Raw genomic sequence first — 25,590 nt, 5'->3', positions numbered from 1 at the left:
GAGATCTGGGGCATAGTTCTGTAAATGCTAAAGCTCTACTCAAACGTTAGTTAAAATAAAATTGGGTTGGTGGATTAATAATTCCTGAGACTTCTGTAGCTCTGATGGCCTGTGGCTAGTGGAGGTATTTTGAGGAAGAAGCAGGGCTATGTATATAAAGTTCTTAGCTCAGGGGCTGGCACCTCGCTTGGAGCAGAGACTGCTGGATGCCTACATAGTATTGATTCTCTCCTTCCTCACTCACAGGTTCTGATTGTATTCTGGTTGGTGATGGGCCTAGATACAGAGACATATTTCCTAGCCTCCTGTAAGTAGGAGTTGTTTGTTGGGTTTCCAGAAATCTTCAAGAATGCTGCCTCAACCGGGAGAGCTACATGTTTTGCCTTTCCGTTTTTCCTGGTTCTCTCCTAGAAAGCAGAAATGATGGCTGGCATTCCAACAGCTATCTTGGACCATGAGGTGACCTTGAGGATGAAAGCCATATGTTAAGTATATGGCAAAGAAAGATAAAAAAGCACCTGGTTTTCAGTAACTGTGGAACTTCCATTACACCTCGGGGCTGCCCACCTCAAGACCTCTTTTATGTGGGGAAAAATAAATTTGTATATCATTAAGTCACTTATGTAAGCTACTGTTATATGCAGAGGAACCTAACCCTAACTAATACATTTTTGTTATTCTGAAGATGCTTATTCTCTTCCTATGTGTTTTGACTAGGTAAATGGATAAAAATGAAAATAATAGTAAGGATGCCTGTTGCTCTGCTAGCTATGGAAGGAGAGGAAGCCTTCAGTTGCTCTCTCCCTTCCTCACTGACCTGTTTTGTTGCTATGAAGATTGTCAAGGACATGCCTCCAGAGGAGACAAACTCAAGGAAGGCTCTGCTGTGTAGCAGTCCCATGGCCCCGGGCTATCCTTAGCTCTCATTATGCCACTCACATTGGTGACTGGGGAGGAGCCCTTCCCCCGGTAGTCTGAGATGGCAAGCATTTAACTTGTTGCCCCTGGTCATACTCAAAGGCAAGACCACAAAAAACACAAAATAGCTCTGCCTAAAGTGGAGAGGAGAAGAAAGAACATGATTCATGTTTGTCAAATCTTGCATTTATTATGTGGTCCAAAGCTTTCTAAGGTCTGATACTGCAAATTGCAATTTGTACTCTGTAGGAAAAATATTATACCAGTTATGAATAAGTACTAATCAATACTAACCAGTAAGCAAGACCTCAAACTTTGGCCATATGGAGAGCTAGATGATCATTTTTAATGTAGCAGAGAAAAGAGAGAGACGCAAGATGTTCCCTATAAACTTTAGTAGTAAAGAGGACATAAAAGGAATCCATCAGCCCCTTGGAGCCATGTGTGATATGCAAGGTCCCAAATGAGAAATTCTCTGGAACTTAATGTGACAGTTCCAGCAATTTCACCCGAGATACAGATGTTGTTAAGGAAGTGGGTTAAAAAGGGAATAAAAAAGAACAAAAAAGAGACATAAAAATTCAGAGAAAGCGAAAGAGGGGAATATAAAGAAATGAAAGAAAAAAGCCAAGAAAAATAAAGAAAGGAAAGGCGAATGAATGGACAAGGGAAAGAAAGAGAAAGAAAAAAAGAAAGAAAAATGAAAGAGAATGAACAAAAGAAAGAAAAGAGAAAGGAAGGAAAGAAGGAAGAAAGAAAAGGAAGGAAGAAAGAAAGAGAACAAATTTAGAAATCCTTCAGTGAAACTTTCTCTACCTCCTGAGTCAAATAAAAGCTCTTTCTTGGCAGTGGGTTGGTGTGCGAGGTGTGATTACTTGAATTCAGGAAAGAGCCCGAGAGAAGTGTGCTTGCTCTACTGAGAGCGGTGGTACCCTTAGCATGTCTTCCTGCACTTACATGCAGCCAGGAAACTCCAGGCCATTCTCCATGGTGCGCACCTTCGGGGGGTAACACAAACCTCAGTCCTGGGCAGCCTCATCTGGGTTTTAATTCTGATACTACCATTTATGAGCAGCGGGTCATTGGGGAGGTCACTTAACTTCTTGTAGTCTGCTTTTCCTTGTTTCCATATCCTGGGATTATCACCCTCCCTTGAAGAATTTTTGGGGAGAATGAAAGGGCCATTATGCATGAAAATTATTGGCAGAGGGCTTGACCCAGAGGAGCACTTCCATAAATGAGATGCCTGCCTCGTGCGTTTCTTCTCCTTCACTCTGCTCAGATGTTATCAGAAGTGCCCTGGGCTGCACTGGTGAGATTCTCCCTGGCTCTGGGGTCATGGACGAGAATAACCGGCAGAAGAGCACCAAGGGCAGAGCGTTTGGGGAGGTCCACCCAGTGCCAGCAATAGGGGTGCAAATCTGTAAAGAATTAAAAAACAATGACAAATCAACTAAAATGGGATCTGTTTTTTGCTTTTTTGTTTTTGTTTTCCTGAGACACGGTCTCACTCCCTTTGCCCAGGCTGGAGTGCAGTGGCACAATCTCAGATCACTGTAGGCTTCATCTCCAAGGCTCAAGTGATCCTCCCACCTAAGCCTCCCGAGTAGCTGGAACTACAGGCATGCACCACCATGCACAGCATATTTTTGTATTTTCTGTAGAGATGTGGGCTCACTATGTTGTTCAGGCTGGTCTTGAACTCCTGGGCTCAAGCAATCCACCCCCCTCAGCCTCCCAATGTGTTAGGATACAGGCTTGAGCCACCACGCCCAGCTGCTTGAAATACTGCATACAATCCCTGAGATCCATTTTCTAATAGCACCATGTACCCCCACTTCTAAATAATGTCATAATAAAAACTCTTCCCTGACAAAATTTTCAATGATCTAAATGTTAAACAATAGTTGTGGTTACTGTTGAGTTTTAATGCTATATAGGCTTCAAATCAGCACATTTTAATTATTTACCTTTTTTTTTTTTTTTTTTTGAGACGGAGTCTCGCTCTGTCGCCCAGGCTGGAGTGCAGTGGCGCAATCTCAGCTCACTGCAACCTCCACTTCCCAGGTTTAAGCGATTCTCCTGCCTCAGCCTCCCCAGTAGCTGAGATTACACGCACGTGCCACCACACCCAGCTATTTTTGTATTTTTATAGAGACGGGGTTTCACCGTGTTAGCCAGGATGGTCTTAATCTCCTGACCTTGTGATCCGCCTGCCTCAGCCTCCCAAAGTGCTGGGATTATAGGCATGAGCCACCGCGCCCGGCCAAATTATTTACCTTTTAATAAATATGTCTTATATGGAAGTTAATCCAGAAACTCCCTGGTTATGTGAAAATAAGCACTTATTTGAAGAGTCAGTTCATAATGGCTTGGAATTCTTTAAGCTTGCGTTGCCATTTGTTTCTTCAATGCTTATTGTGCTGGATATTCCTACAGTAGATTTGAAAAAGAACAAGGATTGCAAAAGACAAAGAAACAAGTTGAATTACCTCATTTCTGACACTCAAACATTTTGAGTGTTTGTGTTTAAAATTTGAAACGGTGAAACACTGAAAATTGGTGCGGTATGAAATTTTTGTTAAGTGCATATTCTAGTTCATACATAAACTGTTTTACTGAATGTAAATAATAGCTTTAAAATGGAAATGCACTCTTCTTTTAAAATTATAATTATTCCTTTTAAAACTAAATAATGAATCCAGTAAATAAAATAGTACCACAATTGTATGATTTCATAGCTGCCTGACTTGTATTTTTTGTAGACATTTTGGTTTTATTAAAATTTATTTAGATGTCGCTGGACAATTCTTTATATAAAATAATATATTGTAAAGAAAGGATCAAAGCTCATGCTGTAAGGTGGATATAAAACCCTTGAATAAATAGTTGTGCCTTTCCCTTTTATGTATGTATAATAAACTTTCCCTCTCTCCCTTCCTTTCTTCCTTTCTTTCTTGCAGGGCTATATTGTATAAAAATATAGTAAAGAAAAATTTTCACTGCCTTTCCTGGCCACATTATTTTTAAAATTTCCAATTATTGATAGAAATAATTTTGCTGAATAGAGGAGGAGGTATTAATGATGATCTGCCGTGGCTGTGAAATGTGGAAGATAGGCCACTGACAATAGGTTTCCCTGTCCTGAGCACAGAACACCCAAAAAGGCATGTAGCTGCCAAAGCACAGGGCCTCCCAGCTGTTTGAAGAAAATACTTTTACTCAGCTCAGGGTGCTGATTTTCCAGTCCTGTGAGCTCCAACCTTCAGGAAAATAGCAGCAGCAGTAGTCAAAACAAATAGCTTCTCCAGGCATCAGACAGCTATTTCCATCATTTTCTCTCCCAAATGGCCCAGACTTAGACTTCCTTCAGTCTACTTCAGATGATCCAATAGTTGCACTTTAAAGTCAGCCCACTCTGCAAACTGTGCAGGAAGGAGCAGCCACGTTGTAATCTTTTCTCCGTAAAGTTCATTGATTTCTTCCTGTTGTACTGTGCAGTGCTTTTTTCCTAATGCCCTTTTGAGACTGAATTAAACTTTAATTCTAGCTGAAGAGGAAGGGCTGGGAGGGTTGGACAGCACCGCTACACCATCAGTGAGACCATGGGGGAGTTAATTATGCTCTAACTCTTTCGTGGCTTGGAGCTCATTACTTCCCCTTCCCCTTAGCCCCCGTTCCCTTTAGAGCTGTTTAGTTATTTCCAGCTGAAGTTGCTCATCGCCTGGAAGAGTCTCCTAGGACTCAACTGCTTACCAAACAATAACTGGAGCTCTTTCTGTCCTGCTATAAATGCTCTCCTTCACTGGAGATGTTTCTTTTCACAATAAAAGCCTGGATTTATATACAGTCAGGGCAGTGCCCTCTGTCCCGCTGGACTGGGCCAGACCAGGTCAGTGGTAAAATGCATGATGCAGTGTCATGGGCAGACAGCAGCTAATCTGTTTCCCCAGCAGGTCATTAACACAGGTGAACACAATCCACATCAAACATGGTTTCCTTTTTAAAGGCCCTATTTATAGCCCATTAGTAGTTAGGGCGAGTGAGAACAAGGTTTTTGGTGGTAAGAATGCAATCCATCACAGTAATTAAATGGGTTTAAGTACGGTACTAACCTGGAGAGTGCAAAGAGTTCTAACTTGACATATTTACCCTCCAGAATGAACAAAGGCAAGGGAAGTTCCTGTCCACTGTCAGGACAGAAACCTCTGTCTTTCAGCATGTTTCTGCTTTTAGGAACTCTATCCATCTCTGTATTCCTTCGTGTTCTGTCTCTCTTTAAATCTCTTTCCCTGTATATCCCTGTCTTTCTTTGTTTTCCTAGCAGATTTCTTTTTTTTTTTTTTTAACAAAACCCTTCTTCACTTTAACACTACAATATCTAATAGCATAAGTAAATTCTTCCAGAAATTAAACCAAAAAACAAAACAAAACAGAAAAACCTTTACCATACTGCCCCTACTTTCAGCATTTTACCCTTTAGGCCTCTTGCCAACTCCAGCCAGAGTAACGCACTTGGCTATGCAATTAGGTTTTTCCTCAAGATTTCAGAGTGGTCCTGGTACTGCCTTGTATCTCCCTTGCTACCTGCTTTGGTTCAAGGGCAAAAATTCAAGCCACTCAGCTGATTAGATACCCCCCTCAGCCCCCACCCCTGCTGAGAATGTGAGCTTCCCCATAAAATGCTGATCTTTGGTGCTTACAAAATAAGCAGCCAAAAGCAAATCTCAAGCTTTGAGCACGTAATTTTTACCTGTACACTGAAGCATATCACGGACCCTAGAGCTAAGGTGCTGAGGCGCCAGGGATATCAGACTCATTTCGCACAACCTCCAGAAGCAGCTGCCTGCGGAGGGCCCCGGCAGCTGTTTCATACACAGAGCAGCAGTGCACACTGGTTTAGGATGGGAAATGAAGAAGGGGCACCATATCCAGTTGCAGCCACAGGAGGCACCGAAGCAGGCAGGATGTAATTATCCTTGATGCATCTCTTTGCCTCCCAACTTCAAGAAGTTTATAATTCCTCCTTACTTAAAAAATATAAAAAATTATATATGGTCATAATACCAGCCAATGCTGGCTTCCAGAAACAGCTTTCAAATTTGCCTCTGTGGAAGAGGTGACCCAGGAGGGAGAATGCAAACACTAGCAACCACGTTTTTGAGGGCCTGGCTCCAGGCAGACAAGATAATGTGAGAATTTAGGGTCATCAAAAAAACACCAGGTCAATTTATTTTTCATAAACATATATTTTATGCTACAGTAGTCATGGTATACCAGAAGAAGATTATATATATTTTTTTACCTTTCTACTATAGCAGCAGGCTTTACATTGATAAAGGGAGGTTATGTACCTAATAAATGACATTTAATGACTATAAATTACATTTTTTCTTTTACCCCTTTAAAAATCATTAAACATAGCATACATACAGAAAAGTCTAGTATAACAAATAATGAACACCATTATTTCAAAGGATGCAACATCATCAGTACCCCAGGAACCCTCATCTTACTTTCCCCCCACAACCCTTCATCTCCCAGGGGAAAGCACTCTATTCTGACTTTTAAGGTGATCACAACTTTCTTTACAGTTTGACCACCTCTGTATCCCTAAGCACTATAGTTTAGTTTTGCCTGCTTTGGAACTTTAGATAAGGAAAATCATATACAAGATATTATTTTGTATCTTCGCCTCTTTCACTCTGTATTGTTTATGAGCTTCATTAATGTTAAGCGCATCTCTAGTTGATCTGTTTTTATTGCCATTTGGCATCCCAGGGTATGGATATGCTACAGTTTACCCACTCCCGTTGGGTATTTATTTACCCACTGGTATTAACGTTTGGGTATGTTCCCTGGTGCATGCATTTTTTCTAGGGTTTTTATGTAGGAATAGAATCTCTGGATCATAGAGATGTATATCTTCAACTTGACTAGTGTTCTGTGTGTGTCTATTTGGCATCCACTCATCACAGGGCCAAGTATATTAACTGTTTTTTCTCATTTTCTGTATTCTTGATTCTCTGGCATTTGGGGGCCTTGCAGACCCAGGGAGATACTGCCCCTCCCAGGGTGAGCCAATTCCTAGAGATTGCAAAGGGCTTGGCCAAGAGCATACTTTTCATATACAAGCCAACAAATCCAGGATCTATAGTCCCAACCGCCTTCCTTATCTAACTCTCACATACCAAGCCAATACTTCTTCTGCCCTAAATTATCCCAGGGCCAAGTTCCAGGCAACTTGAGATCAACCCTGTAACCCAAGGGCTGATAGAGGCTATTCAAACTAGCTCATCCTAAACTGTTTACTCTGCCCTGCCTTCCCTTTTCAAGGAAACCGTCATAACGGCTGTGCCCCCAGCTTTCCCCTACCTCCTGTCTTCTGCCTCCTGATCATACCGGTGCTTCCCACGTGGCCCTGCATGGTAAGCATGCCCCCTTCTCTTGGGAAATGAAGTAATAAATTCTACAGTGGCATTAGCTTCTCTGTGTTGTCACTCAGTCATGCCTCTATAAATTAAGTCCTGGGTATAATTTCAGAACAACTAGAAAATGTCAAACTGCTTTTCAAAATGCTGGTGTCAGTTTACACTCCCACCAGCAGTGTATCAGCACCTTTCCAGAGATGCTCCTTGAATGAACAGGATATTTCATTGTTGTAATATCATAAAATCAGAATTTGAGTACATCTGGGCGAGCTTCCTGTTTCAGAGATCTGTGCTGAATGCATAGTGAAGTCATTGCTGCAAAGCCATGGCCTTAGCCTTAGTCCTGGCAGTGGAGCAGTCAGGAGGGCACCTGAAGTCATGTTCATTGGGTCTTAAAGGAGAAACCTTAAGATTCACAGTGAGTGGTGAATGTTGATTCTTTTGCATTCTGATGTAATCTTTTATTTTTAAAGTGCTGAGCTATTTTCTGAATCCGCATATGCTTTAGTTGTCTGCTCAATATCTAGTTCTCCTGTCTTTCTTACCAAGAGAACTATGATTTGGTTTAGGAGACAATGTGCCCAGCCCTAGTGATGGATCATGCCTGGCCCAAGTCAGTCAGGATAATTTCCTTCCAGCTTACCAGCCTCCCTCACCTTTGGGGGTGAGACATATCCCCTGATCATGTGACTTGGTTTTGGCCGATGAGATATGAGCAGAAGTCTGGGGAGGAGGCAGATGTAGCTGGAACCCCCTTATCATTTCTTCCTGTTCTGACTGTTGGAGTTATCTCCAGAGATTTAGGAAACATCTTGAGGGGATAATTGAATAGAATTTTCGAGTCCTGATAATGGCAAACCATTGAATCAACATCAGCAGCCACTTTGTTCCAGACTTCTTATGTGAGAAAATAAACCCTTGCTTGTTTAAACTGATTGTTCAGGTTTTTTTGTTGTGCAGCTACATGCACTCTTAACTAATACACTGAAGGAAGCCCAAGTGTCTTCGTGCAGAAATTTGTAATTTAAAGGGGAGTAGAGTGGGAAGTGTTGCCTCTGAATGATGCAAACATGAACACATGGAGGATTGCCTTTGCCTTTTATTACGTACCCACTTCTTTAATTTTTCACAAATGAATCCATGTATTTTTCTGTCACACATCTGAGCATTTACTGTGTGCTAGGCATTGACTTTGGTGCTGGGGATAAGTAAGAGAGTGTTGTTATCCTCAAGGGCCTTGTACTTTATTAGGGAGACAGACACAGAAGTAGCACTATGAATACTAATAATGTCAGTGAGATAAGTGAATGACAGAGGAATGTCCAAAGTACATGGTTAGCACAGAAGAGGAGTGCATCACTTAGCCTAGGGTTGGCAGGGGTTGGGAAAGGGTAGCAGATAACCCAGGAAGGAAGTGAGTTATGGATAGTTGCTATTATTTAATCTTGAAGTCTTGAAATGTCAAGAGGATTTATAAGTCACCTAGAAGGGAAAGGACATTCCAGGCAGAAGGAACAGGGTATGTAAGGGCACAGAGGTTTGGAACCATGTGATATGTTGGGGAGCCACTGTCCAGTATTATTGGAGTGTGGCCCTTGAATCAGTGTAAATGTAGTTCCCAATACGAATGGGGCAGTAAGTGTCAAGTGCACTTTTACGACATAAGGTGACATATTTGAGTTGTCACCTTTACAGCAAGGGCCATGGGGTTCATTTGTAGTAGGACCAGGTCATGGGGTCCATTAGTCATGGGACCAAGATCAATCCTTGGCAGTCTTGTTTGCTAGGGATCGTCTAATTTTTAAATGGCAAATAAGTTTCGTCTTGTAGTCAGATCTGATTGGTAAGTAAGCACCCAGAATTCTATATTTTAAAGAATCAGAAGCTATATCTATTATCAGCAAGAAAGCCTTGATTGATGGTGTGGAACCCATGGCCATGAATTTGCCACCTTTTTTCTAAATGCCTTGCTCTGCAGTAGTTCAGACCCTGTGGAGGAGCCCTCCAGAATCCAGCTCATGCTGTTTGCATATTGCTTGCTTTATTATGTGCGCAATGCTGCTCTAATCACCAGAGTTACCATTATAAACTGCATCAGCCATCTGCGTGCCTGGGAAGAACAGATACTAGGGTGAACACAATTTAAACTCTCCTGGCTTTCAAATGACAGGAAGAGGAGGTACTGAATGTCAAGGTCTTATTTAAGGAATGATAAAACAACCCGCTTCATGTGCTATCATTAGAGCAACCACATTTGTTATAGATAAAAATGAAGAACAATTTATATTTTGAGTCTTTCTCTTTCTCTCTCAAGCTAAAATGATCTCAACATTCCATCCTACAAGCTGTAATGGTACAATGTGTGTATAGCAGGCTGGTTTGATTCGCAACTCTGAAAGAATCAGTTTCCTTGTACTGAAAAATAAAAGCCCTCTGTATTCAAGTGAAGCCCTGCCTCAGGTAGCTGGGTTCTGGAACACATTTATATTAAATTAAGGGACTGGAGAGAAACAGTTCTAAGTGCTAAATTAATATGATCAATGTATTTTTAGTGCACCTATGGAAGACAAAGGTGATTTTCTTGTTAAATGGCTACTCCCAGATCATGTGGGCAGACCCCAGTCACATAAATGGTGCATGCTAAACCTAAAGGACCATTGACTTAATGAAGACAAGAAACGAGACACACTCCAATGCCACGGGAACACAGCGAAGAGAAGCTCCTGGGTGTCTGTGGCAGAAAGAAAAACTACAGAGCATTTTAGCACCGAAGTGACAGCCGGGAGAAATCATTCTTTGTTGTGTGGACTTGCATGGGTTGTCATCCCTGAACCCAGTTTTCTCATCCGTAAAATGAGAAAAACACCCCACAGCTTCATTAAATGGATCTGGCCAAATGAGATTCTGTGTGTGAAATGGTCTTCAAATTATATAACACCACGTAAATATTAGGTATTATAATTACTATTGTTACATCATAAGTCTATTACAAGATTCAGAAGAGATAATGCAGGTGAAATTGCCTGGAAAAGTACTACGGAAAAATCTGTCAGGAAAAGTACAAATGTAAAATGGTAATTGAAGTAATAGTATCAGTACTTTTAGTTATGAGAGGCTAGAGACAGTATGAGAAGTACATGAGAGGGTACAAAGGCATTATGTAAATAGAAGGTTTAGAGCATTTGAAAAACAGGCAAGTGGTCAATTCAATGGAAACAGAAGACAAACCCTGGAATTTCCCAGAACAGAAGCATCCATGTTAGTGGAGTTGTGAGCAGGTTAGGAGTCATCGTTCAGACAGTAAGTCCATACAGCATTTTATACTTAATAGGCCTTTTGATGATCAGCATGAGAGACTGACTCAGGTTACAATGAAGAAATTGAGATTCATTGGTGGATATATGTAGGCAGAAATCTGTACCAGACCTCATGGGGGAATTGCAAAGAGCCAAAACTCATGGAGAATGGTATGTCCATCAGGAACTAGGAGGTTACACAGAATCAGAAGCAACTCTGGGAGCTGGATTGCCTTGTGGTCCTAGAGCAGCAGGAGTTTTCTAATTTTCTACTATTTGTGCCACTGCACAACCGAGTATCTCATTGCTCTTCTGCATGTCATTCAGTTTTAGCTGTCTAGGACTGCAGGCTTTCCCCTAGCTTTTGCCTGCCCAGGCTTCCTCTTGCCTGTGGCTTCTGCTACTCTAGGTTTCTGCTGAAGGCCTCTGGGCTTCGGTTTCTTTCCTACCTTTCCACTCATGAATAGCTCTATGATTCTCATTTAGACGCTTCTAGAGAGGGACTCTGAGTGCTTCCATTGATCCCCCTTGTCTTTGTTAGGCTCAGCTTTTGTGTCAGGGCGACTCAGAGAGGAGCTGCTCTGAGGTGAGACTTCTACACCTAGATTGTGATGGTTAATACTGAGTGTCAACTTGATTGGATTGAAGGATACAAAGTATTGATCCTGGGTGTGTCTGTGAGAGTGTTGCCAAAGGAGATTAAAACTGGAGTCAGTGGGCTGGGAAAGGCAGACCCACCCTTAATCTGGTATCTTATCAGCTGCCAGCACAGCTAGAATATAAGCAGGCAGGAAAATGTGAAAAGAGAAACTGGCCTAGCCTCCCAGCCTACATCTTTCTCCCATGCTGGATGCTTTCTGCCCTCAAACATCAAACTCCAAGTTCTTCAGTTTTGGAACTCGGACTGGCTCTCCTTGCTCCTCAGCCTGCAGATGGCCTGTTGTGGGACCTTGTGATCATATGGGTTAATACTTAATAAACATATATATATTCCTTTAATTCTGTCCTTCTAGAGAACCCTGACTGATACAGGGTTCAGACCAATCACCTGCGAATGAGGATCTGAACCTGATCTGAACCTAGCAATTTATGCTCGAAGAACCCCTTCCCTTGGGGCTGTTGGTGGGCACCCCTTGGGGTGGCGTGGGGCAGGTGGCTTGGAGTGGGCAGGCACTCCACAGTTTTCTTGTTCAGTGCACATGTGAGGATGCTTGGAGTTCTGTGACACTCAGTTTACCTTCCACTACTAGGTCAGTAGGAGCAGTGGCTTGCAAAAGGCACTTTCTGTAAAAACAAACACATTAAACAAATACCCTAAGTACAATCATGATGATAATGATGGCAAACAAGATGAAGGAGGAGAAGAGGGAGAAGAAAAAGAAGAAAAATGTAGGGATTTTGAAATGTGTTCCTTTTAAGACACTGTGAAAGAAAATACACACTGTAGAGCAGGTGTGTCCAATCTTTTGGCTACCCTGGGCCACACTGGAAGAACAATTGTCTTGGGCCACACATAAAATGCACTAACACTAACGATAGTTGATGAGCTAAAAAAAAAAAAAAAAAAAAAAAAATCTCATAATGTTTTAAGGAAGTGTATGGGCCAAATTCAAAGCTGTCCTGGGCTGCATGCGGCCCACCGGCCACGGGTTGGACAAGCTTGGTGTAAAGTGTCAGGAATATTATGCTCAGCTGAAGCCGAACTTTATTTTGGATTCTGGTTATTTTATCTAAAGCAGCTTCGAAGTGGCTTCCTCGACATAATTAAGAATCTCAGAATTTTGGAACAGAAAGAAACCTCAAAGAAATCTACTCTTTGGTTAGACCATTTTGCATGATCTAGTCCCTACATCTTAGAGAAGTGGAAATGAGGCTCTGTGAGGCTGAGTGGCTCGGCAAGCTTGGGAGGCCTCTGTTCTGTGATTTCAGAACACAGCGGTGATTTCAGAGATTCTCTGCCACAGAACTGCTAACTCTGGTTGGCTGGTTTCCACTTGAGCACTTGTGTAGATGGAAACCTTATTGGCTTAAATAGTTACCTCTTTCTTGGGGGCAGCTGGCCTGGAACTCCTGCCAATCTTTCCCTTATAAAACAGAAATCTACTTTTTCTATAAAGGTGTGGTGTATTTTCTAAGCTTTATTCAGACCCTGGGTGTTCCCAAGCCGTCTTTCACTGTCACATTCTCACGTCCAATTTATTCAGCCTCAGAGCTGTTACCGAATGGCTAGAACCAGAAGCCACACTAGTTTCCAGGTGTTTGTGAAGGATCTGGCCACTAACAACACAAAACAAAAATAATACCACAATGTCACTGCCGTTTTAATCAATCTCCCAACTTTATCACACAACAATGGCTATCCTGGGTGAAGCTTTTTATGAGTTTTGTGTTCTGCCAACAAACAACCAAAAAATAAAATTGGCACTGGATTAAAAAAATTCATGTTATAGTGGTAGCTGAGGTGTTCTCGTGGTTCTAAAATGATAAACAAAATAGCCAAAATATGTATAAGATATCTGCCATGTTTAACTGTGTGGCTCTGGGCAAGTTACTGTCTCCACCCTTTACAATTCCTATCTGAACACTGGGATATTTGTGTTCTTAGCACTGTCATTGGCTTACAGGAAATGCTTAATAAACTACCTATTAATATTGAATACCTTTTTATTTAGTCTTCATAAGAACTGCATAAAGCTCAGAAAAAATCAAGTAATTTGCTCAAGTTCTAAAAAGCAGAAAGTGGTAGAGTTAGCATAATTAGAACTAATTATCTGAATTCAATTTGGTGGTCTTTTTGCTTCACCAGAGCTAACCACAACTGCCATGTTTTAGGGCTAGGCAATGGGAACCCCAGTGTGTATCCTGGATCTGACTCTCAGCTCCCAGGATTTAGAAACCCCAGTGCAACCCCTGTCTCAGTGCCTCTCTCCTTGGAGGCATCTTGTGGGCCATGCCAACACCCACTGCCCCTCTGCTCTGACAGGTGGCAGGATCCTGGGCTCTGGAGGTGTTGAAGGAGAGGTGTAATTTTCCTCCTCCCCTGCCTATGGGTTGGACTGTTTGACACTCCCTGAGGGGCCTCAAGAACTTCTTGCCATAGACTCTAGGCTCCTTATCTTGGTAAATCAACATAATGCTCACCAAGTTGGCTTTCCTCAAGTTAAGGTGGCTGATGTGTATGGAAATACTCAGTAAGATTTATTGAGGGCCTCACAGAAAACTTGGCAGGTTTTCTTTCTTAAGTGATGACAAAGGTGGCCCTTGCCAGTGAAAGGCCACACTGTTGGCCACCCCTTCTGAAATAGTCTTGTTGACTAAAGTTCTGTGCAGGATTTTATTGGCACCTATAAATAGACAAATTGGCAGCTCCTTGTTTTCTTTTTTATTGACAGATGTGGTGGTGAGACTTGCTCTTGGATGCTGTCAGGAAGTATCATCTGACTGCGTTTGCTACCCTGGGGGAGACAAACAAAACTTGAGTGAAGGAAAATGAGAACTCACCTGAAACCAAGAAGAGTCTTTGGAAAAGGATTTTTGTGTAGGTCATCTGGAAAGTGTTTACTCTTAGCAGTTATGCATAACTATAGTCTTAAGAACAAAGTGAGGTGGGGGTGCGGGTAAGGGTGGGAATGGGGTAGGGGTAAACGAGTGGGTGGAGACGTGTCTGTGTGTCCAAAAAACTGCCCCAAAGCAAACATGGCCACGTGCACACATCTAAACCAATGTGTCTCTTAAGACTTTAGCCTCCAGTATACTATGTAGTCGCTGCATTCGTTGACTTTCTTGTCTTACTCAGCAAAAGATGTAGACGATTTCCACTATCTTTCCATAGACCCTCGCTAAATGACCAGATGGGAAAAGTCTATTGCCTGACCAAATTGCCAGTCAGCCCATGAGCAGTCCAGACAGTGCAGGATTTATAGAAAAGGAATTTTTATGATTTCTTCCTGCCCAACCCCCACTAAGAAGCAAAGGCCCTACTCTTGACCTTGGCATCCCCTTGTTGCTTTCTTCTCGTCCATGACACCTAGGCTTGATATTCTTTACCTTGGGTATTCTTGTGAATATTTGCTGAATTTTCATTTACACCAAATACAATTCAGAAGACAGAGGCTTTCCAAGGTATGAGTGTGTAAGTATGTTAAAGAAAAGCTCTCAGCTTGTCTCATGGTTTAAAGTCCTCCTAAGATATCTGAGCTGAATCTAAGGAATAAAGTAGATTGGTTCCTCCCTGTCTGATGAGTTTTATCAAAATGTGATAAAATGTGGTAAAGAAAAATGGTGGGCCAACTTCGTTATAGTTCTACTGAGGGACACTGTACAGGTAAACCAGGCCATAACTCATTTGTCCTGTGACAGTTTTTATTATTCTGTTTTTATGCAGTTTTGAAGAGTGAGGGGAATTGCCCTAGACAACAGATGTGAGAGACTTTTTTCTTTCTTTCTGTCCTGTGGACAGGCCTCAGGCTCCAGCCCAGTGACTCATTGTTGTGGTATTATATACCTCAAGATGAAGTGTGTGCGGTGGAAAGTGTGGGCAGGATTTATCAGTGCGACTTCTTCCTTTGAAGTATCAAGGCAGGCTACTTTGCTGATGGTTTCTGGAACCTGGCCAAGCCCCAATATACTGTGAAAATAGCTGTCTTAGGTTTTCCTGGCACATGAGAACATTTGCACTTGATTCTCAGACCTCCATTGCTTTCTGATGTTTTTGAGGCCAGTGTTCTTGGGATTTAGGGCTCAGGGCCAGATTGTAACCCTGCCTGTTTGTACTCCTTCAAATGCCCCATCCCAACATGGTTTTGATGGCTCCAGATACAGACTGTAACACCAACTTGAGTTCCAAAGTGCAGGCTGGCTTTAGGTTGCTTTTAAGCATTCATGCATAAATTTCTCTATAGCCCACATTTCCTGCTACCCTGCCCCCACTAACAAAATGCTGACTCTTAAGGCGTTTTACTGTGACAATGCTTTCTACGGCAAAGCATCTTCACATTTTCAGCTTGAAAGCAAGGCAATGTGTACGCGGAGAAAAACATAGGAATACCATGATAACTCTATCAGTAAATTGAAAAAATAGGGCTGGGCATGATGGTTTTACACCTGTAATCCCAGCACTTTGGAGGCCAAGGCCAGTGGATTACTTGAGGCCAGGAGCTTGAGACCAGCCTGGCCAACACGGTGAAACCCCGTCTCTACTAAAAATACAAAAATTAGCTGAGTGTGGTGGCACGCGCCTGTTATCCCAGCTACTTGGGAAGCTGAGGCAGGAGAATCTCTTGAACCTGGGAGGTGAAGGTTGCAGTGAGCCAAGATCATGCCACTGCACTCCAGCCTGGGTGAAAGAGTGAGATTCTGTCTCAAAATTTAAAAAAAGAAAGAAAGAAAGAAAAAGAAAGAAAAAGAAAGAAAGAAAAGTTCTCCTTTTCTAGTTAAAAAAAAAATCTATCATCTATTTGCCTGTACCTTCCTCCTCCCACCTTTATTCATTGTCATACTGTTATTAATTTTGGGAACAAACGACATAAGAGCCTAATTATGTTAGACTCCCAGACACCCTTCCAGAGGTGAATGATCAGCCACATTTCTCATCACCCAGCTATGTGTAATAAATAGTTTCCTTGTAAATGCGTATTTCCCAATAGATGCCCCATTTCAGGTTTCCCTCTAGCCTGGGAACCAGACTCTGTCATTCCTGATTAAAATATTGCCAGCCTGTGCTGGGGAACCCATAACTAACCTTGCTGAGCATCTTTTGCACTTTCTCCTTTTGAGTGGGCAGACCCTTTAATAAGGCAACTTGATGTGACTGGACTTGAATCTGGGGAAAGTCTTAGAAAGCTGGCAGATCCATGTCAATGTCCTCCTAGTTGAAAAGACAATTGATATGTTTGCAGGTTGGGTTCTGTTATGGGCTGAATTGTTCCCCCCAACCCTCTCAAATTCATGTGGTGAAGTCCTAACCCCCAGGACCTCAACGGGCCCTTGTTTGGAGATAAGGTATTACAGAAGCAATCAAGTTAAAATGAGGTCATTAGGGTGGGCCCTAATCCAATATGACTGATGTCCTTACCAAAAGGGGAAATTTGGGCTGGGCACGGTGGTTCATGCCTGTAATCCCAGCACTTTGGAAGGGCGAGGGGGCAGATCACGAGGTCAAGAGATCGAGACCATCCTGGCCAACATGGTGAAACGCCATCTCTACTAAAAATACAAAAATTAGCTGGGTGTGGTGGCGCATGCCTGTAGTCCCAGCTACTCGGGAGACTGAGGCAGGAGAACAGCTTGAACCCAAAAGGTGGAGGTTGCAGTGAGCTGAGATTGTACCACTGCACTCCAGCCTGTGTGACAGAGCAAGACTCTGTCTCAAAAAAAAAAAAAAAAAAAAAAAAAAAGTTGGGGGGGAAATTTGGAGACAGATCTATACACATGGAGACTGCCATGTGAACATAAAGACAGTTCTCTACAAGCCAAGGGGAGAGGCCTGGAGCAAGTCCTTCCTTCACGGCCCTCAGAAGGAACCAATGCTGCGGACGCCTTGATCATGGATTTCCAGCCTGCAGAACTGTAAGCCAATAAGTCGGTGTTGTTTAGGCCACCTCATCAGTGGCACTTTGTTGCGGCAGCTCCAGCACATATATATGTCTCTTTGGCAGCAGGTTCTGAGGCAGAGATGAGTATGTAGGGCTTATTAGGGAGTGCTCTTGGGATAAACTCCCATGGAAGAAAAGGGAAGGGGGCAGATTGGGACAAGGGATAATTTGAGCTGTGATGTAGTCCCAGCAAAGGTCTCAGCTGACTTCATGGGAAGCTCTGGAGCTGGTATGGCGCTTCGTTGTTGGAATATGAGCTTGGGCCTTTATAACTCCCTGCTGATCAGTCACTGGGTGGGGGCTGCCTCTGCCTAGTTTTCATAAGCCTAGACAAATCCCGAAGAGGATTGACAGTTGGGGATTGTATTTTGGGAGCAATTCCAGCTTCTGCGGGATAAATCCTTCAATCCTCATGGGGGATCTCAGTGGCACATCACAGCACCACCATGAATACATGTCACCAGGGGTTGGCTGACTTAGGAAATTTGATAAGCCACCCTTAATTTTCAAAATGGGGTTGAACTTTGTAAGGTGTGGTACTGTTCAGTTCTCTTTTTCTTTCTTACTTTCTAGGTGAAGCAGGTTGTGGCTCCCCCAACACTTCGATCCTGTCCTGGGTGAGAGGTGGGGCATGGGAGGTGTATCAATCATTATCTAGACAGAAAAACAGAAACTACTCTGGATGTTTCAAACAGAAGGAATTAATGGAGAAAGAATGTTACCAAGGTGTTAGATGGGCTGGGGAAGCACACAGAGAGGGAAATGTGCCCCAGAGATCAGGAAGCTGGGGTTTTTCAACCTGGGTTGAAACCTGCAAGCCCACACTGTCTGCTGAGTTTCTAAAGATGCTGCTGCTGTTACCATTGCCACAGTCGGATCTATGCTGTTCTGACTAGGAACCCCGGACACTACATTTTGATGCTGGTGAAACCAGGACTGACACCGCTAAAGCTCAGTGTCACCGATGGAGCTGCCAGAGCCCATAGTTGCTGACCTCGGTACTACTGCTATTGGTGGCTCTACCAGTAGCAGACAAAAAAGCCTTCTTCCTCCTATATTCTAGCCTTCCTCTAGCAAGTGGACTGCAGTACAGAGGAAGGCATGGAAGAATGCATGGATCTGGGACCAGCAGACAATAGTCCACTCTCTTTCAGACTAGCTCTTTGCTCTGTCTCTTCTCAGTGTACTGTCCTGAGAGGGAGGTCACATAGCAATGGCCAGGAAGCCCCTCCCCAAGACTGAGGAGAAACCAGGTCTACTAGCTCTCATCCAATATTCTCTGAACCACATCATGGCATAGCTAAAGCCCTGCCTCCCTTTTTCCTTTCCTTCTGGTTTCTGAGAGGAATACTGGGTCACCACTAAAATGTGGACCACAAAAGGGCCAATAAGATCAACTATGCTACCCAGCCACTTCAGTCAATACCTGTCAAACTGATGTTTCAACTGAATTTCTGGTTGGTTGATTGAATTGGTCAAATAAATGTTCTCTGGACACATGTATTTCTCTGGGACATTGACAAAGTAGCAGCATCTACTTATCATGGATAAAACTTCTTTTATTTATTATCTATTGGCTTTTTACAAATAAAACTTCTTGCATTTATTATCTATTAACTTTTCAGGTGATTTTACATTTTTCCCCATTCTTTCAGCAACCATGGACATATCATAAATCATCCTTCTTTCATCCATTTGTTCTTTCAGAAATTTACTGGGGAATCAGCTATAAACAAGGGTTTGTATTTTGTATAGTGGAAGGAATACAAAGAAGTAAAAGAAATAACCCTACCAAGAAGGAGTTGATAGCTACTAAGAAGGAGTACACTTTTACAAACAAAGTAACTGACCTGCAGAAAGAGAACCTGCAGAAAGTGCTAGAATCAGCCAAGAAAGTGCTAGAATCAGCCAAGACTTCTAATTGGCAAGCCGAAGCCCTCCCCATAAACAACCCCCTACTGGTTGAATACTGAGGTGACACACTCAGTTGCATCAGCTCTAAGATTCAGGTCAATGTCTCTTATTATTTTGAATGGCATCTGATTATAGATTAATACGTGTTTTGTCTAAGGTTACCTTGAAGTGTCTTCGTTTGTCCTCATGGAAGTGACTGAGCATGCTTGATTTTTTTCCATGTTGCTTAGCTTTCAGATACAAATTAAGCAATATATTGTATTCCTTCTGTCTAACCATGTGGTTGGTATAATTTCTCCACAGACAGCTGAATTCAACAGCCTGTGTGTAGTGATTCAACATAAGTAAGGACAAAACGGTAGGTGGTAAAGGTTGTCAGAAGGACACCTGGGCCTTCACTAGGTGCTGCCACTAAAGCCAGGCCATCAGATATGGCAAACCTCAGGGTGCTGCCAAATCTTACAGACCAAATTCTTTTCACCTGGGAATTTTACCCATTCATCAGACCCAATATTTCTCCTAAGTCAGGAGACACGATGAGAATTTTATCAAATCAATTCTGCAGTTAGTAACTTGACTACCATCTAGCATGTTATTCTAGCCATCTATCCATTTCTTCAAATCATAGACTATTTCAGGATATTTCCCCAATCATACTCGGATCTCAAATGATAGGCTGAACTCACTCTGCCTCTTTTGAGTGACCACTGTGCTCAACAGAAGCACTGATGTTACCATGGTTTCCTTAGTGACAGAGATATTACAAAGGGGAGAGTATGGTTGAGGAGGCAAAGCATGAAAGGGAAAAGGGGCCTTGATATTCCTGTGTGCAGAGTGCTAGCCAGACTTCACTGCCTCACACTGGGGACAGTTGTCCAGCTCATGAAAGATTGCTGTCAGGGGATAAAAGCCTCGTTTGGCTCACTTAAGATTTGTGAAGTATGTTCTGTGCATCAGGCATTTTACCATTTTAATTTCCAGAAAAGACAGCTAATTTTTCCTGTGCATCTGGGATGTTCCCCCAGGATAGCAGAGATGAGAAGGCAGTTTTGTGGTGCCACAGTTGTATATGGGCTTAATTTGAAATGATTAGTTTCATTAGCCTTGATATTCTAATTGTATCTCTACATTTCACCATCTTGCATAGAGAATATGCAAAACAAAGGGCTATTGAGCCAGGGTTGGAAGGAGCCCTGATTTCGATTGTTTCTCATTTTCCTTTTGGTTTTCAATAGAAATCAATCCCTAGTGTTCAGTAAGGCCTCCGAGCCATTGGAGCCATTTAGCAGAGCCCTGCTAGGGTGTGCGCTTACCTGGACAGGTTCCTGACTAGTCATCCACTGCTGTCAGGACTTAAGGATGATGCTTATCAAGGTTCTTCTTATGCTGCTAGAGAAACTGCCACCTATTTCTCAGAGATTCTTTCCTGGGTAGAGGTACCTAAATGTTGCCCCAAGTTCCATGGAGTGTGATAGCCACCAGATTTGACTTCAATAATATTCTTCATCTCAGAAGCCGGGGTGACTGGGCAACTTGTAACATTTTGTGTTTGTAAGGTGGTGGGATTTTATAGAATAATGAATCTTCACAGAGCCCTGGGTTGCTAGGGAACCTCGATTTAGTTCCACTTTGGAATGAGGAAAATATGAAAAGAAAAAGAGAAGTAAATTTCTTAGAATTTCCCCACTCATGTTTCAGTGCTGATACAGAATTCCAGAATGACTGAGTATCCTAAGCCCATGTCAGTTATCTCTCAAGGTTGAAAGGAGAAACCCGGCGAAAGGATAGGGCAGTAAAAGAGAACTGAGGTGGCTGTTTGAAAGGGGCCATGTCTCCTCGGAGACACGTGTCTCTCTAGGAGGATCACTATACCGCATTGTTTCTCCATGGCTCTCATGTACTCTTTTGAGACCTTAGTGTGCTGTTTCTAGATCAACAATTTATGATATTTATTGAGCACCTGCAATGTGTCCAGCTTTGTGCTTGGTGATGTGAAGGCAAGAGATGTAAGGACCTGGTTTCTAATCTTCAAAAAAGTCTACACTGTGGTTGAAGTGGTGAGGTTTATTCAACTAAATTAATTTAGAAACTATATCAGATAGATAACATATAGAAGCTTATGCTACCTGTTTGCGGGTCAGAGGTTCCTTTCTTGCCATTGGAAAAGAGAAAGGAGAGAAAACACCAAGTGTCAGAGTCACTGGGAAAGGCTTCTAGAAGGAGGAAAAGCTTAAATTGTGGAAAAGAATAAGAAAGTCTGATAGGTCCCTGATATTTGTGAGCTTCTAATTACACCAATATCATGATAATTTCTTCCACAACAGAAACACAAAGAGAGTTTTTGCCTCCGAAATGACAAGCAGAGAACCACAAGGCAATGTTGAGATGCAGAGGGTGGCAGTTTCCCTCCTAGCAGAGTGACTCACTCATGCCTCCACTCCAGGGTGCAGGGCTTAGATTCATGACAGGTAAGAACAGGCCATAGGCCTTACAGGTGGCTTTCGAATACATGAAACCAGGGATCTACTGTATTTCAAGATGGGGAGATTTAGCATGAGGCACAGAGGTGAGACTGGTGAAGAATCTGTTCCAGCTAGGATGAAAGTTCGTGGAAGGAAGCAACAGGAACAGGGTCTGCTCGTAAAGGGTATTGAGGTTAGACCCGGTGCAATGATTCAAGAGGAATTCTTATATCTTATTGGACAAGCTAAAGATACGGGATAAGGGCTGTTTTAGAAACACTTCAATGGGAGTGGCATAGGAAAGAATTGGAGGGGAAGGAAAAACTAGAATCAAGGAGATGAGTTAGAATGTAGATTTTATGAGAGGATGGAGATTGCACTGGCAGAAAAGAAAGGGCAAGTCAGCAAGATTCTGCAAATAATAGGCTTTGGTGATAAATTTTCATAGACTATGAGGAAGGAGATGAAGAAAAAGGAGGGTAAGAAAAGACGGTCTTAGCGATACTCCACAACTTCCCGATACTCCGTTGTCTAAAGTAGTTTCTCCACTGTGCATGTGTGCTGGGTGATGCTTCACATGCAAAACACTCCGTGGGCCCATGGTTGTAGTTCTCTTTTTTGAAAAATTACAAACATTTAAAATTGTGGTAAAATGTACATAGCATTAAATTGATCATATTAGCCATTTTTGAGTTATACAGTGCGGTAGTGTCAAATACATTCATATTGTTGTGTAGCCAGTCTCCAGAACCGTTTTCATCTTGCAAAACAGAAACTCGGTACCCATTAAACAACAACTTCACATTATCAACCACCCCTCTCCTTTCTGTCTGTAACTCTCATACAGTATTTTTCCTTTTATGACTGGCTTATCTTACTTAACATCATGTCCTCAAGCTTCATCCATATTGTTGTGTGTGTCAGAATTTCCTCCTTTTTTAAGGCCGAATAATATTCTGTTGTACATATGTACCACATTTTGTTTATTCATTCATCCACGGGTGGACATTTGGGTTACTTCCACCAATTGGCTATTGTGAATAATACTGCTATAAATGTGGGTGTTCAAATATTTCTTCAAGACCTTGCTTTCAATTCTTTTGGGTATATACCCAGAAATGGAATTGTTACATCATATGGTGATTCTATTTTCAATTTTTTGAGGAGCCACCATATTGCTTTTCAGAGTGGCTGCAGCATTTAACATTCCCACCAGCAGTGCACAGGCATTTCGAATTTCTCCATATTCTCACTTTATTTTCTGTTTTGTTGTTTTTCGTATTTTTTGCTTGTTGTTGTAGTCATCCTGATAGTTGTGAGGTGGCCCGTGGTTGGATTTTGAAGGTATGTCATTCCACTCACTGGGTGTAATTCTGTCTCTTTTTCTGTCATTTAAGAAAACACACTGGAATACATGAGTTTATGAATGACTTTGAAATGGTGAGAATATTGAGTCAGCTCTAGTTTGTCTTTTGTAATGGAACTCATTCTGACACCTTGGTATTCTATCATGAGTAACAACTTATTTGTGACACTCCCTATGACTTACTGAGACTCATCAGTGAGTCCTGACGTCACAGTTGAGAACCACTCCTCACTGAATTGAGTTTACAATACAAAATATTTCTTCATAAACACCCAATGAAAACAGCACGTTCCCCCCGGAATCAGTGCTACCAAAAGTAAGGAAAAAGCAAAAGTAAAAAGGAAAGCCAGTCATGTAACAAGATTTTATTTCCTCCCAAGTGGCTTTATCAGAGACACTTATCAGAAACAATGCCTCTCTCCATTTACAGAAACTCTGAAATCCAAGGTTTGAAACCTGAGGCCGAAGTACCTATCACTCCTCTCTTAGGTAGATGGTTAGTGGTTCCCACCTGTCCGACTTGGTCATGTGGCAGCATCTAGAAAGGCAAAGCTATAACAATGAACAAGAGTGTTTTCTTTTTTTTTTTCTGAGGTTTCATTTACACCAACAGGCTTTGTTCAGTTTAAGGAAAAAAAAAATTTTTCCAGCAAGGAACTTACATCTGTAGAACTGCTGTAGACACTTAATAAGTAATCTAAGTACACAGTAGCTTCTAAGGCCCCTCAAAGATGATGAAAAGCTGAGGATGCCAAATGCTATACCCCTAGACTACTGTGGAATAGAAAAAAGATAGATCTTTGGCCAGAGATTCTGGTGGCAACTTTCTCCCAGCAATTTCTCCTCAAGGCCAGGGGGAAGAAAAAAATATACATAGAGGGTGTGATATCAGAAAGGCCAAGAAAAATACCCCAGTGTATTTTGTGTCTGGATGATTCCTGATATTGTTCTACTTGAGTGCTTTATCCCTAGTCAACAACTCTTTAAGTAGTTACAATAGAGTGGGTTTTTTTTTTTTTTTTGTCTTCAGCTCCAGTTTGAGTGTTTTGTTTTATTAAGAGACCAGAGTCTCGCTATGTTGCCCAGGCTTGAGTGCAGTGGTTATTCATAGGCACAATCCTGTTACTGATCAGCATAGAAGTTTTGACCTGCTCCATTTTCGACCGTGACCAGTTCACCCATCTTTAGGCAACCTCGTGGTCCCTTGCTCCCAGGAGGTCACCATATTGATGCCAAACTGAGTGCGGACAGCCGATCCACATAGTGCACTACAGCCCAGAACTCTAGGGCTCAAGCGATCCTCCTGCCTTAGCCTCCTGAATAGCTGGGATTACAGGCACATGCTATCACATCTGGCTCTAGTTTAAGTCTTTAAAAAAGACTGAAGGACACTTAGAAACTCAAGGCTGAGGCTTTTTAAGCAGCAGTGGGGCTATGAGATAATGATATCCTTAGGAGACCTTTCCTCCACCTACTCAATGCTCAGAACCAACTGAAGAACAAAGGAAAGTCAGAGGTTCTAAGCCAGGGATTTCTCTGAGACTCCTGCTCATTCTTGCGCATGGTGGAGCATCATTAATTATCCAGCCCTCTCACACTTAGAGGTTGCTTTCCTAAAACCTGCTTGAAATTTGTCTCCACCCATTTCTTTCTTTTTTTAAACTTGTAACTTTGCTTTTGGGAAACTATTACTGAGAGTAACTATGAACACACACTAGTGGGTAGTGGTAAAGAGGGCTGGGTTCAGGGTCAGACCACCTGTGTTCAAATCTTGGGTGCCCCACTTACTAGCTGTGCGACCTTGGGCAAGCTGTTTGCCCTCTCTGGGCCCAGGTTTCACAACTATAGTTGGGGAGAGTGATATTGCCTTATCAGAGAGTTGCTGTGAACATTAAGGGGATTAAAACATGGGATGCGCTCAGAAGAGTGCCTACATATAGTATGCACCATATAAATATCAGTCATTATCGCCATCCTGGGCTCCGAGTTCCAGTTCCTCTGCCCAGCTCACAGAGGAGAACATTCAAAACCCAATTGTTTCTTCTATACTCAACTCGCACTTCAGATTCTGTTGTGGGCAAAGTCTGAAGGTATTTTTGTTCCAAAATCACTCAAAATATTTTCTCTCTGACTATGAAGTGACCTTGCTTTCCCCTGCTCTTGAGTTAGTCTCCTTTTTCCTTTTTTCTCTGTTCCTTTTTCTGTTGCCTCTCTTTCCTTTTTTTGGATTTTTGTCCTCATATCAGAAGATATTGCAACCTTCCATACCCCAGTATTCTGGAGGGAACAGAGGTTCCCCTCCCATGCAGATGCTCTCCTCCTTTACTTGAAAATCATAGAAATTGTTTTTCACTTAATTCTTTTTAGATTCACTGTTTTACTCTGTTTTGATTTTTTTCTTTCCAGGTCTGGCTTGCTGCTCACAACTAAAACACCTTACACACATGTACACACATCTATTTTATCCTTGTATGGAAATGAGAGCAATCGTGAGGGTGTCAGGGAATATTCCAGGATCTCTAGAGAATATTCCTAGAGTAGGTTTTGAAAGCAGAAAGGAGAAGATGTGATGGGTGGTATAGTGGTGAGGCCAGAGGGGAAGACAGGCTT

At 42.3% G+C, this 25,590-nt stretch overlaps 2 long non-coding RNA genes and 1 pseudogene across 11 annotated transcripts in view; 1 reads left to right on the top strand and 2 right to left on the bottom strand.

The window, feature by feature from the left end:
* The window catches only part of LINC01331 (long intergenic non-protein coding RNA 1331), a 209,330-nt gene extending 194,451 nt beyond the window's left edge, over positions 1-14,879 (top strand). For 4 of the 5 annotated variants that reach the window (NR_126354.2, NR_197436.1, NR_197438.1 and 1 more), the window contains one exon: positions 14,038-14,879. This is a non-coding gene — a long non-coding RNA (long intergenic non-protein coding RNA 1331). Of the gene's footprint in view, positions 1-7,254; positions 7,347-14,037 lie in introns of all 5 variants that reach the window. The other variant, NR_197435.1, reaches the window with a different exon arrangement.
* LINC01333 (long intergenic non-protein coding RNA 1333) lies at positions 1,947-20,736 on the bottom strand. 6 transcript variants are annotated; one of them, NR_197443.1, is made up of 5 exons: positions 20,466-20,736; positions 17,805-17,892; positions 16,386-16,511; positions 3,198-3,351; positions 1,947-2,339 (listed from the first exon to the last, which is right to left on the bottom strand). It is a non-coding gene; the product is annotated as a long intergenic non-protein coding RNA 1333 (long non-coding RNA). The 6 variants fall into 6 exon arrangements; NR_197440.1 differs by lacking the exon at positions 20,466-20,736 and adding an exon at positions 19,315-19,822; NR_197442.1 differs by lacking the exon at positions 17,805-17,892.
* Positions 24,038-24,337, bottom strand: RN7SL814P (RNA, 7SL, cytoplasmic 814, pseudogene; annotated as a pseudogene).

Source organism: Homo sapiens, chromosome 5 (genome assembly GCF_000001405.40).
Source record: "Homo sapiens chromosome 5, GRCh38.p14 Primary Assembly".
Classification (NCBI taxonomy): domain Eukaryota; kingdom Metazoa; phylum Chordata; class Mammalia; order Primates; family Hominidae; genus Homo; species Homo sapiens.
The sequence above is the reverse complement of the archived record's forward strand: the minus strand, read 5'-3'. Positions and strand labels throughout refer to the sequence as shown.